Source organism: Homo sapiens, chromosome 11 (assembly GCF_000001405.40).
Source record: "Homo sapiens chromosome 11, GRCh38.p14 Primary Assembly".
NCBI classification, from domain to species: Eukaryota; Metazoa; Chordata; class Mammalia; order Primates; family Hominidae; genus Homo; species Homo sapiens.
The window spans coordinates 31,447,151-31,460,015 of NC_000011.10; the positions used below are offsets into that span (position 1 = coordinate 31,447,151).

At 35.0% G+C, this 12,865-nt stretch overlaps 1 protein-coding gene across 13 annotated transcripts in view; it reads right to left on the minus strand.

The window, feature by feature from the left end:
* The window catches only part of IMMP1L (inner mitochondrial membrane peptidase subunit 1), a 77,222-nt gene that overhangs the window by 14,750 nt on the left and 49,607 nt on the right, over positions 1 to 12,865 (minus strand). For 12 of the 13 annotated variants that reach the window (XM_047426521.1, NM_001304274.2, XM_011519947.3 and 9 more), the window contains one exon: positions 9,110 to 9,236. In XM_047426521.1, coding sequence (XP_047282477.1) covers positions 9,110 to 9,236 — 127 coding nt within the window. Of the gene's footprint in view, positions 1 to 1,793; positions 1,942 to 9,109; positions 9,237 to 12,865 lie in introns of all 13 variants that reach the window. The other variant, XR_242781.4, reaches the window with a different exon arrangement.

Genomic DNA, 12,865 nt, shown 5'->3' on the forward strand with positions numbered 1-12,865 from the left:
TGAATGCACACATCGAAAAAGAAAGTTGAGAGGTTAATGTCTGGCAAATTTTGTATACTCCTATAGCCTCCTGAAAGCTATTTAAGTCTTCTCTCCCAGTCTACCCTTAGATGTCCCCCCTCCCAAGTCCAGTGGTCTGGCTGCTTCTGAGGCAGCCTCATTAAGGAAGATGTGTGAGTGCTAGGATTGGTCTGGGGTCAGAAGTCCATTATCGGTCTCAGTCTGTGTCCCTAGACCTACTTTGACTTTCCTTACACTGGGAAGTCAGGTCAAATTTCAAGTCTCTTTAGACAACAGAAGGTTTCTCTAATCCTTCTTGCTTTCAAGAATCATACATAATGTACACAAAGTAGATGAGAATCTTAAGTTGCATCGAAGAATTTTAAATTACCTATAATTGTAAGTACTTTGTTAAATACTGCTTAGTCTCCTTTTCTTGTTAGCTCTGCATTTGTGTTTAGTTGGATACAAGCACTAGCTGTGCCATGCTAAGTGATTTATACATTTTCTTAAAGTAATTATGAAAATTCTGTCCCAGGAGGAAAACACTCTAACGTCCAGATTGGCAGTGCAATAACTTGTAATGCCAATATTTTCTTGCTAATTTAACATCTTTAGCCATTTTATAATATGCATACCTGCTTTTGTATCTATTTTTCCTTTTTTTCATTCTTGTTTTAGGTAGAGAATTGTTTGGTTTGGTGAGAATATTTTTATGGGCTAAGATTAAGTTGTTCACAAAAACCTGTCAAATTTTAATTACCCAAAGTGGTAACATCAAAACTTCATTTACTTGCTTATTCCAAAAGGGAGTTGAATATATTTCACTTACTCAACAGCAGTTTTTCCAGTAGATCTAGTAAAGACTGTTATAGCACCTGGGCGCGGTGGCTCACACCTGTAATCCCAGCACTTTGGGAGGCCGAAGCAGGCAGATCACTTGAGGTCAGGAGTTCGAGACCAGCCTGCCCAATATGGTGAAACCCTGCCTCTACTAAAAATACAAAAATTAGCCGGGCATGGTGGCAAGCGCCTGCAGTCCCAGCTACTCAGGAGGCTGAGGCAGGAGAATTGCTTGAACCTCGAAGGCAGAGGTTGCAGTGAGCCAAGATTGTGCACTGCAGTCCAACCTGGGTTGACAGACTGAGAATCTGTCTCCGAAAGACAAAAATAAATAAATAAAAAAGATTGTTTTAGATTAGGAAGCCACATCACACTTGGAATATATTCTCCTTACTACCAACAGAGTTTGGAGTCTGGTTCAGATGCTTTCACTGAATACCTGTGTTACAATTTTGTTCTTTAATTTTTGCAAATGACTTTTAAGCAACTTTAAAGTACAGAAGTCCCAGATAACTTGCAGATAAAAATACATATAATATTTTCATTTTACTCAACTGTATCCTGCCTCTCTAGATTCATACCAATAGCACTAACTTTATAACTTTTGAGTGGTTAAAATATTTCCAGGTGAGCAACACATACAAATTTCAGGACAACCTGCTACTCTTTCAACAGAGATGCTGATCTTCATATATACATCTTTTCAAACATATACATATAAAATATACTACTACAAAATAAGATTATTATAAACTCCATATTACTGTTAAACTAAGCTCAAATTATTCTGAAAATATTCAGAGAACACATCAGAAAACACTTTAAGTCTAGGAGCCTCAAAGATTATTCTTTAGTGTTGACATCTGAACAAAAACACTTCAGACTTGTAAACAATGAGTGAAATTTATCTTCAGAATTGTGTTAGCTATAGAATGAAAAAGTCACGTCACCTCCGCAGTGAACTTCACTTTAGCAAAAGAGTAAACATATTTCCTCCATATCAGCTGCAATCAAGGCATTAGCAGTATGCCATGATTGATTATCCTAGGAGCCGTTGCTGAGAAATGGATGTGTAGCACAGGTTTTTATCACTATAGTCTGCAAAAAACAAGTCGCTTGTTTAGATACTCTAGTTGTAATAAGTGACATTATTAGGCAGTTCTTCTATTTAAATGACATAAGGATTTAGTATATCAGCAGCTTATAATACACAAGCCCTTTCAATCTGATGATTCCTCTCTCTACAGAGAAGTACTTTTTTCTGTTTATAATACAAGTGGTAATAGAAGACCAGATGGTTGACTTTTAGCTAAGGGAAATGACATTTAAACAAACAGAAAGACAGCATTTAGAATATTCAGGGTTTCAAACTATAACCTAAATACACAGTACACATTAAAGGACTATTAGTGTTAACTATATAAAGTGACCATTTTGTAATGCTAATTAGTAAGATTGTTTCTTAGGTTGTCCATCAGTTTTATTTAAATATTTTCTAATACACGGTAAAACAGCTTTATTATTGCCATATTGTTACATTTCCATTTTAATACACTATACCACCAGTACATCCTGATAACACTTAATCAGTCCTTTCTGAAATGTAAAATTGTCTCTACTTCTTACATTTCTGCCAGTAATAATGATGATGTTATTAACATACTCTACAATTCACAAAGAAAAACATAAGAAATAACTACATTACTTATTCACCTCCCATCACTCTGCTGTGGTAATGGATTACTATTTGGTGAACAATGTTTCACCTTTTGTGTATAATGCTGACATCTATGGTACCAAAGACAACCAAAAACCTTTAAATTAAATAGCCAGATATCTTTGGTAGCCCTCAGATAAAAGTAAAAACATGATTTTTCTAATAAGTACAGATTTGTTTCCTGTAACAATAGCAAAAGACTGCTATCCACTAACCACACTAACCACAGAATACACTGAAATTTTCATAATCATATTCTATTAATATGTCTATTCTCAATACAGGGTAGCTACTATGGTTAAGACATGAAAATTCAATAAATAAGGTTTTAATTGAAAGACTTAAAAAATGATTCTTCATTTTACAATAAACCACAGAAAATCCTAGAAGGAGAAATTTATAAACTTCAGGTAACAACTTTACCCATCGTTAAGCCAATAAACCAATAAAAGGACCAAAAGAACAAATTATCTGTATAGTAGTTCAATATGTCCAAAAGGCACATGTATGACTACAGAAATGCAGAAACTCTTATTACCACACAACCTCATTAGTAGGCAATGAATGTTGCAAGGGCAACTTAGCCTTCATCGTAATAAAACCACCATAGCATTTCAGGGGCACCAAAGCTTCCTTCAAAATGAGAACAAGGTAAGCCCAGCATACCTCAATTCCCCCAATACTTTAGGAGACTTAATCTTAACTAAGTTCAGTATTCCATAGTGATAAGTCAATTCAGAGCCTGGTGAATTTTTATTCTGCTTAAAGAAAGGCCTGAAAAATATGCAGTCCTAAATAGAAGTCACTTAGGAAAAGAAACATTTAATCAGCACTCTGCTCTCCTGGTACACCGTAAGAGGAACATTCCAATATTTTCTACAACTTTCACCTGCCATTGTCATAAGGTGGTCAGGTAGTCTTATCACTGGAAATAGCTTAGCTTTCAAGTCTATGAAGACTAGAATGACCACAGATTGGGCAGTTCAGCAGCGTGGTAGGCTCCATGAACATCTTCTGAGAAGTTGTAACATCATGCATTTACTTGGGAGCAAGTTTGCAGTAGAAACTAGTAGAAAAAAAGGAGTAGAAGTAGAAAAGAAACTAGCACCCTATTCATATATATCTAGATCTGTCCACCCTTCAAGAATTTTAAAAAATCTACTAGATGCCAAATCACAGTTGAAATGATATGAAATCAACTGCGATTAAAATGAGTCCCTGTCACCAAGAATCTTATGCTCTAGATCAGGGGGTCAGCAAACTTTTCCTGAAAAGGGACAAATAGGAAATAGTCCAGGTGTTGCAAGCCATATAGTTTCTGTCACAACTATTCAACTTTGACATTTTAGAGAAAGCAAACACAGACAACAGATAAATGAATGGGCATTATTGTGTTCCAATGACACAATAATTACAAGAAAGGCAGCAGGCAAAATGATTATGCAGGGTCTTGCAGGCCACCATAAGGCCTATGGCTTTTACTGTAAGTGAGATGGGGAGCCACTGGGGTCTTTAAGCAGAAGAGTGACATAATTGCTCTTAAAAAGCATCATCATCAAAAAGGATGACCTTAGCTGCGGTGTGGAGAGTATAATGGAAAGGGTAGAGATGCCAGAAAATCGGAAGGGTATAAGCAAAGAAAACAGTTCAAAAATTATTGCAACAAAATGAGAGAGATGAGTTTATCTTGCAAACTAATGGATGGTAGCAGTGACAGTGGCAAAACGTGGTTTGATTCTGATTATATATAGAAGGTATAATCATGATTTGCTACGGGATTGGATGTAGGGTGAAAGAGGAGAGTAAGGATAACTCTAAGGTTTGTGGCCTGAACAAGTAGCATGGGGTTTTCTTCCCCATATGATGGGAAGTGTATGGAAGGAGCCATTTTGGGACAGAAAATCAGGATTTTAGCTTTGGATACAGTAAGTTTGAGATGACCATTATTCATTAAAGTGAAGATATTAGACAATTAGACATGACTCTGGAGTTCAGGGAAGAGGTTATACTTGATATAAATTTGAGAGTAAGTTAAAAAGTACTGTACATAAAACCATGAGACAGGATGAGGTCAGCTAAAGTATAAGTGTAGATAAACAACAGAAGTTTAAAATATGAACCTTTAGTTAACTTCAGGGTTTGAAGGTCATTCCAATGTTTGGATATGAGGAGGAACCAATAAAGGAAATTCAGAAGAAAGATAGGAAAAAAACCTAGAAAAAGCAGTGTCCCAAAAACTAAGTGAAACCAGGTTTTGAGAACAACTATTTCAAATATTAACAATAGGTCAAGTATGATGAGGACTGAGAGTTGATCACTGGAGAGACAACAAGAGAAGTCATTAGCGACTTTGACAAGAACCATCAGTGAAGTGGTGGAGACCAAAGTCTAACTGGAATGAGTTCGAAAAAATAATATGAAGCTCAGAGTGGAGTAACTATACACAACTCTTCCCTATAGGAGGATGTGGTGTCATGGGAGTTTGTTTAGATGCAGATTTTACAACATGTTTGTTGATAGGAATTTACCATATTTCAAAATGCCTATTTCATAGTTATCCCATGGATTAAAAGCATAGTCCTGGATTATCACACAATATTATACTAATAAACATTATGAGTGCTTTTCTTCTTCTTTTAATTGGCTTTATAACAAAATTATAGTGTATTTCTGAGCCCTGGCCCTACATTCCCTAAGGGAATTAAATAGAGGTTTACTTTGCATTTTGCCTGCTGTGCAAACCAATAGGAGAATGCCAACTCATTTTATTTATTTCTTATTTGCTACATGCTCCTACTTCCAACTAAATTATTTTTTCTGATAAAGCAGTGGCTTCAAGCAGCAAACTGAGGAATTCCTGTAGAATATACAGAAAGGCAACATACTCAAGATGTCTGAGCTTATGACAATTTGTTTCTTTTGAGAGTCACAAATTAATCTCATATCTTTACAGTAGCCAATGCTCAGTTCATACATAACCCCAGGAAAGAATTATTGGCTTCAGTACCTTCAAAATAAGGAAAGCAAACAGCATCTTTTTTTTTCTTTTCTTTTCTTGAGACGGAGTTTCGCTCTTGTTGCCCAGGCTGCAGTGCAGTGGCGCGATCTCGGCTCACTGCAACCTCCACCTCCCAGGTTGAAGCGATTCTCCTGCCTCAGCCTCCCAAGTAGCTGAGATGACAGGCGCCTGCCACCACGCCTGGCTAATTTTTTGCATTTTTAGCAGAGACAGGGTTTCACCATGCTGGGCAGGCTGGTCTCAAACTCTTGACCTCAGGTGATCTGCCTGCCTTGGCCTCTCAAAGTGCTGGGATTACAGGCGTGAGCCACCGCGGCCGGCCAGCAACAGCATCTTAATAGGAACTGCTTAGTTTCCAAATACCTAACAGTAAAAAATAAAGCTGATTTATAAGCGTTGCTTGCCATGTGGTCTTTTAAAACTCTGGAATGGAAAACAAACAAACAAAAAAGAACTCTGGAAAGAATAAAATGATCCCACATCACTACATCACTTAACCAATGATTTGTTTATGTTCTTTTCTGCCAACCTACAAACAATGCTATTTCTTTGATATGCTAAACTCTACAGGCTAGGTTCCAATGAACAATTTTGGTGTTTTGCTTTCTGAAGCACCTACATACAAGAATAAACTTTTTTTGCCTGGAATTCAAAACATATTTTAATATTGTTCATTTTATTAAGCAGCTCAATCAAGATATGAATAGCAGGATCTTCATCTCATAAACAACAATGATTTTTCTTAGAGGATGCAGAGGTAAGGGGAAGAAACTCATTTCGTAAAATATTGCACCAGTGTGCTTCTGAAATAGCTAAAAAAAGGGACACACGAGAGGGGTAGACCCTGCGAACATTTTGGCTATGTTTTCAGAGCACTCCAAACTTGGATGAAATTTTGTTATAAATCACCTTGATTAATGGAACACATTTGCTAAAGCGGTTCTGTAATAGCTACACAATTCTTAGGACTTGAATAACCCAGCATAGAAAAACTGGCAAGGGAGAAACCCTCAAAAACACTGGCTTGTCTTTCAGAACCAATACTGCCCCTGATCAGAAATACTTCCCTGTGTTTTTTTAAAAATAATAAAGACAAATACTTTTTAAAGTAAGTATAATTTGATGACATAGGAACAGAATAGATAGGCAAAGGGTATTCTGAAAGAAGTAGTAGTGGCATCGTGAGGGTTACAGATTCTGAAGCCACTATATGTGTTTCAATCCTAATTCTTCCTCTCACTGTTCGAAATTGGGCAATTTATTTAGCCTCCTTCTTTAGATTACCTATCAGTAAAATACTGTTACCTACTCATCGGGTTGCTGTTGTGATAATTAAATAAGTTAACCTTTGAAAAGATTCTCAACAGTATGGAGGAAGTACAAAATAAGTGCTGACCAAGATTATTAGAATGATGTACTGTATACTTATAAATTTGTCCAACAAAAGTGAATGGAATACACCTGGAACAAAATGGCAATGTCATATAATTTGCACATTTATCAAACATATAAAAACTCGGTAATAGAACACCCTACTGGTGTTCTACCACACAGTAGGGTGATTATGGTTAACAATATTGTGTTGTGTATTTCAAAACAGCTGAAGGAGCTACTCAGAAGGCTGATGTGGGAGGAGCATCTGAGCCCTGGAGGAGGAGGTTGCAGTGAGCTGAGATCGTGCCACTGCACTCCAGCTTGGGCAACAGAGCAAGACCATGTCAAAAAAAAAAAAAAAAAAAAAAAAAACTGAAAGAGAGGATTTTGAATGTTCTCACTACAAGGAAATAAAAAATACATAAGGTGATGGATATGGTAAATATCCTAATTTCATTTTTATACAATGTATATTCGTACTGAAACATCACACTATACCCCATAAATAATGTACAATTATTATGCATCAATTAAAAACAAAAACAAAATTCAATGAATATTTTCCTTGAATAGAACATTTAAAAAATTTACATCTTACAGTGCTGGTTATCTTCTCTGATTACTTAGCAAAGACTTTATCTGAATCCTTTTGTACAGACATCCTCCTCTAATAACTCTTAAAAAGAAATCAACAACAATGATATGGCATTTAAATACATAGAGGATGCTATTTATTTGTTCTGTCTGTTGATATCATTTCTGCTTTCAAGTACACACATGATGCTAAAGTAATTTAGAAGTGACTAGAATATCTCAGGAAATGCTAATAGTCATATGAAGGTGAAACTAAATGGAAAATCAACCCTTTTTAAGAAGAGGATACAGTGTCCGTAGAAAAATATGTTACCTGACAGCACACTATCATCTTTAACACTGTTATCACCATAAGTTAACAATTACTGCGTATTTAGCATTGTAGTAATAAATATCAAAAACACTTGTACAGCTGAACCACAGTCTATTACAAAATGGTAAATAAATAAGATTGATTATTTAAAAGTCAAACTTACTTATAGGGCAACCAGAGGCTATTACGGTTCAAAATAAATTTACGATGACATTGTAATTATTCAACTATGTGTTTACATTGAGGATGAATATAGAGATAATGTTAGTTAACAAACAGCTGCATTAATAATTTGATAGTGACACAGAAGATTTACAGTAAAGTAGAAAATTAAGCTATAATTATTCAAGTAAGAAGAGTATATGCTGAGTAAACAAAAGGCCATCTCTTCCCCATAAGCTCTGTTACAGAAGCCATGTGACTGGTGAAAGGAGCTAACACATTCTATCTACTCTTCATTCTTCCATTTTACTGTTCTTGCACTTTTTCTAGCTGTACAGGCAAGGTGGTTGTATACAATTTCAATACACACAATTTCGATTATCAAAATTTAAATAGGATGTTATTATTTTGTCAGACTTCCCCCTAATAGTGGAAAATCTTTCTAAGCCAGGATCCCAAATCCATTTAGTTATCATGTCTCCTTTGTCTGTTCCAATCAATGACAGGGCCTCAATCTTTCCATGTTTTTTATGACCTTGACATTTTTGAAGAGTATTGATCAGTTATATTGTAGAATGACCCTCAATTTGATATTGTCTTATGTTTTCTCATGAGTAGATTGAGGTTGTAACTTTTTTTTCCTGCAAGTGCCCTTCTTGGTGCTTCAATCCAGAGGCTACCTTATGTTGATATGTAGTGTTATGATGATGAAGATAACTCAGTTAAAGTGGTGCCTGACAGGTTTCACCTCTAAGGTTTTTTCCCTTTGTAATAAATATTTTGGGAGAGATAAGTTCAGATTATGTAAAATTCTATTTCTCCTCAAACTTTGTCCAATAATTTTAGCATCCACTGGTAAATTTTGCCTGTAACAATTATTACTAAGATGTTTATGCAGGGTTTTAAAAGTAACTAAAATACATGAAATATAACGGCTGAATTGTTCTTGATATAAACATTTAAATTCTACTGGATGCCCTTTTTTCTTACATTCAAAATATGAATAAACATTATTTTCTTTTGTCAGCACTCAGTTAATGTTAATCAATTATGACACCAAAAATAACATAATTGAAATGTTACTTACATAACTATGGCTTTTAAAGAAATCTGATGGACTAGTGGTGAGGATTTTGTCTCCTTCCAAACCAATTACTCTTTTACAAATATTTGATTTTGGATCACTTGGGCTTTTTGCAATCACAATGTCACCTCTGAGGGGGAAAAGTCAAAGAAATGTCTGTATTATTTATTAAGCAAAAACACATGCATGGCACTGCTTTAATACTTTTATAAGACAACTTAAACAAAGCCATAACCTTTATCCTCTCATATACTTACTCTTCCACACATTTACTGGCTTTGAGAACCTTTGTGACTGAATACTTTAGGTGAGAATCCAACAATAAGAGTGATAAAAAGGCTATCTAAAATTTCTGATAATTTCAGAAGATTCTAAACTTTCAGATAATTCTACAAGAATTATCTTTTGCATTGTATCCAGTATGCTTTACTCCTGTGTCCAAATTCTTAGAACCAAAATTGTGGAAAAACAATTCTACATAGGCCGGGTACAGTGGCTCACAACTATAATCTCAGCACTTTGGGAGGCTACGGCAAGAGGATTGCTTGAAGCCAGGAGTTCACGGTTGCAGTGAGGCTAAGATCGTGCCACCATGGGCAACAGACTGAGACCATGTCTCCAAAAAAAAAAAAAAAAAAAAAAAAAAACCACACACACAAAACAAACAAACCAAGAAAAACCCCAAGTGAACCAAAAAAAGAAAAAAAAACCCTCCACACAATTCTATATAAATACTAACAAATTAAGTAAATAAATATTGCGGTCCAGCCAGTAGCACTGATTGACTCTAGAGCACACTAAAAAGGTAAAAGCATCATCCATGTTTCCCTAGAACTCAAATAATTGAGGAATGATAGCATGTAAGTCCTATAACCCATATCAAAAGAACTTATATTTGAGAAAAAAAATCAAAAGATACAACAAAATAAAATGCTAAAAGCTGCCTAAATATACACTCTGAAAAATAAAATGAGATATCAAACATATAAAACCAATAAGGGTCTGATTACATACAGAAGTCATGATTTATGGAAGAACTGACAATCTATCTGGTAATAAAAAATAAGAAAGATCCTAAAAAGTGAAAAGGAAGAAAGATAGAACGTAGGACTAATGACCACAGTCAAACAGAACACAATACTCTTTCTGCATAAAACGAGCAATATGTGAATTCTGTTGACTAACACACGTTTAAAAGGATTTAACATATTTGCTTATTAATTGTACCTAGTTCCAGAAATAGTTTAATGAAGCATATGTCAAAATAATATTAAAAGTCATAAGAATAAAAGGAAAATTATGAAGAAATCAGAAACCTAATAACTGCTCTATAGAAGCATTAAAATGGGTTCTAAACTCTTTGGGAGCCAAGTCAGAAGAAATTAAGACCAGTTACATGGAAATCATTAATTAATAAAATAACATTTAGCTTGGGAGGTAAGACAAAATTTTCCCTAACAACTAAATCAAAGAGAAATTCACAAGAAACTTTCTTATATAAGAGAATAAAAGATACCATCTTTATCAGAAATTTTACACAGAGTGCAGAAATAGTATTTACAATGATGATCTCTTGAGGCTATTCTTGGTAAGAGTTGAAAGGTAGCAAATCGTTACATTCTATAATTTGGAGGCAACACAGTGTTGCCTTCTTTTGAAAACAGAATAAAGGTATTTTCTTTCTAACCAACTAGAACCATGTCAGTGGATCTGTTCAGATGAACAAATTTGCAAAGATTGTAACACGCCATCAAAGTTGATTTTGGGTAGCTTTGGAGGAAGAGACGTTTTTCCATGGGTGTCTAATGAAGCTTAAGTTCTTTGATCAAATAATCAATATGACCCTTAAAACAAACTTTGCACTCGAATGGCAACATAGAAATCATAATTCAGTCGTGCTGTTTTGTAGAAAGTAGTATAAATAAACTTTATTTCTGGTAGTCTAACTAGATATATGCATAGCGTTTAGATCAAAATACATATCGGCTGGATTCTTAACTCCTTCAAATAGTTTTAAAAGGAAGCTTATTAAAAATTTTCTCATTTATATTTATAAACATCCTTATTATTCTACTACACAGTAAGCTTTTGAAAACTAGTGTCAATTATCTCATTAATCTTAACATTCTCTATAATGTATGGTACATCTTATAAATTAGGTGCTCACTACTATTTGTTGAAAGAATAAGCAATAGTAAAAATCTGACTGTCTCAAGGTTGAGTGTTCTGTGCAGTTGACTGAAGAGACATCCATGTGCTTTAGATACTAGATATGCAAACTTTTATTCTTGCCTAAATGGAAGGTTATTTTACATTTAGAAACAGGCAGCTAACAACAGGACACCTTGCCAGGGGTCAAAGATTCCCCTGAAATCTTGAGTTCTGTGCTGTGGGTAAAAGAAAGAGAATACTCAGGACAGTAATATTTCTTAAGTAAAAGTTACCAGCTGGCTATCTTGGCTCTAAAAGTTACTTTGGTATATCTCATAAATGCCAGATTTTGAGCTGTCCTGTAACCTGGATGAATAGGGTACAAAATAAGATCTTCAAAGAATCTGAATTCATTTACTGAATGTAGTTATTTGTTTCACTTATCTGAATGCAACGAGTAATTTTTTTAAAAATATCAAGCTGTGTATTCAAAAACTATTCAGCCAACAAGTTCATCTCCTCATTCAGGATGCCCAAGGATTATTGTGAATAAAATTATGTCACTGGCATGGAACACAGATGCTTGGTTTCATGCTACAGTGGGGCTAGGTCTCCAGTTAATTCAAAGGCTATATAAGGATAATTTGATATAAGTTAAAAAGAAAAGGGAGCAACAACACAATCTATTATATAAGTTTTATTTTATAATTCCTGTATCTACAATTAAGTATATAGAAGTTGTTATGGGTAAAAGATTTGAAGAAGAATTACCTAGGGAGCATGCCAAACCATACAGGTTGACCAAGAGAGTTTCTATCTGCAGAATCTAAGGCTGGTGAAAGATCAGTAAATGTGAAGAAATGTATTCTTAACAATTTTCAGTAATGTGAAATAGGTTATAGCAAAGGTGAATAGTGAAAGAGAAGTGCCTAAACCTACTTAATATGCCATAAACTAAACACTAGCTCAAGGGAATCAAATCTGTAGTTTACTGAAATGAAAGCAGGCATAGATTTTTTTCAGAATTATAAAAAACAAATGGACTCAAAATTTTAGGGTATCAGAGAGGTGCTCTTTAGAAAATATATTAAATTATTAATACTTGACATTCATTTGGAATAAATCATTCTCATAGAGTTAATTGGAATAAAGGGTATCACAAGGATTGGAACCACCACTTGAAATAGGATTTTTTATCATTATTATTTTTTTGTGAGATGGAGTCTTGCTCTGTCACCCAGGCTGGAGTGCAGTGGCATGATCTCAGCTCACTGCAACCTCCATCTCCCAGGTTCAAGCAATTCTCCTGCCTCAGCCTGCTGTGAAATAGGACTTTAAAAGGTTTAGTGACACACAATATTTGCCCAGGAGTTATTCAACTTAATATAATTAATCAGGAGACTCATAATATATACAATTCCTGGTTCTCAGCCATATACAATGATGTAATCTAAAAATCATCAAATGGGCTGGGCACGGTGGCTCACACCTGTAATCCCAACACTTTGGGAGGCTGAGGTGAGCGGATTGCTTGAGCTCAGGAGTTTGAGACCAGCCTGGGCAACATGGCGAAACCCAGTCTCTACAAAAACTACAAAAATTATCTGG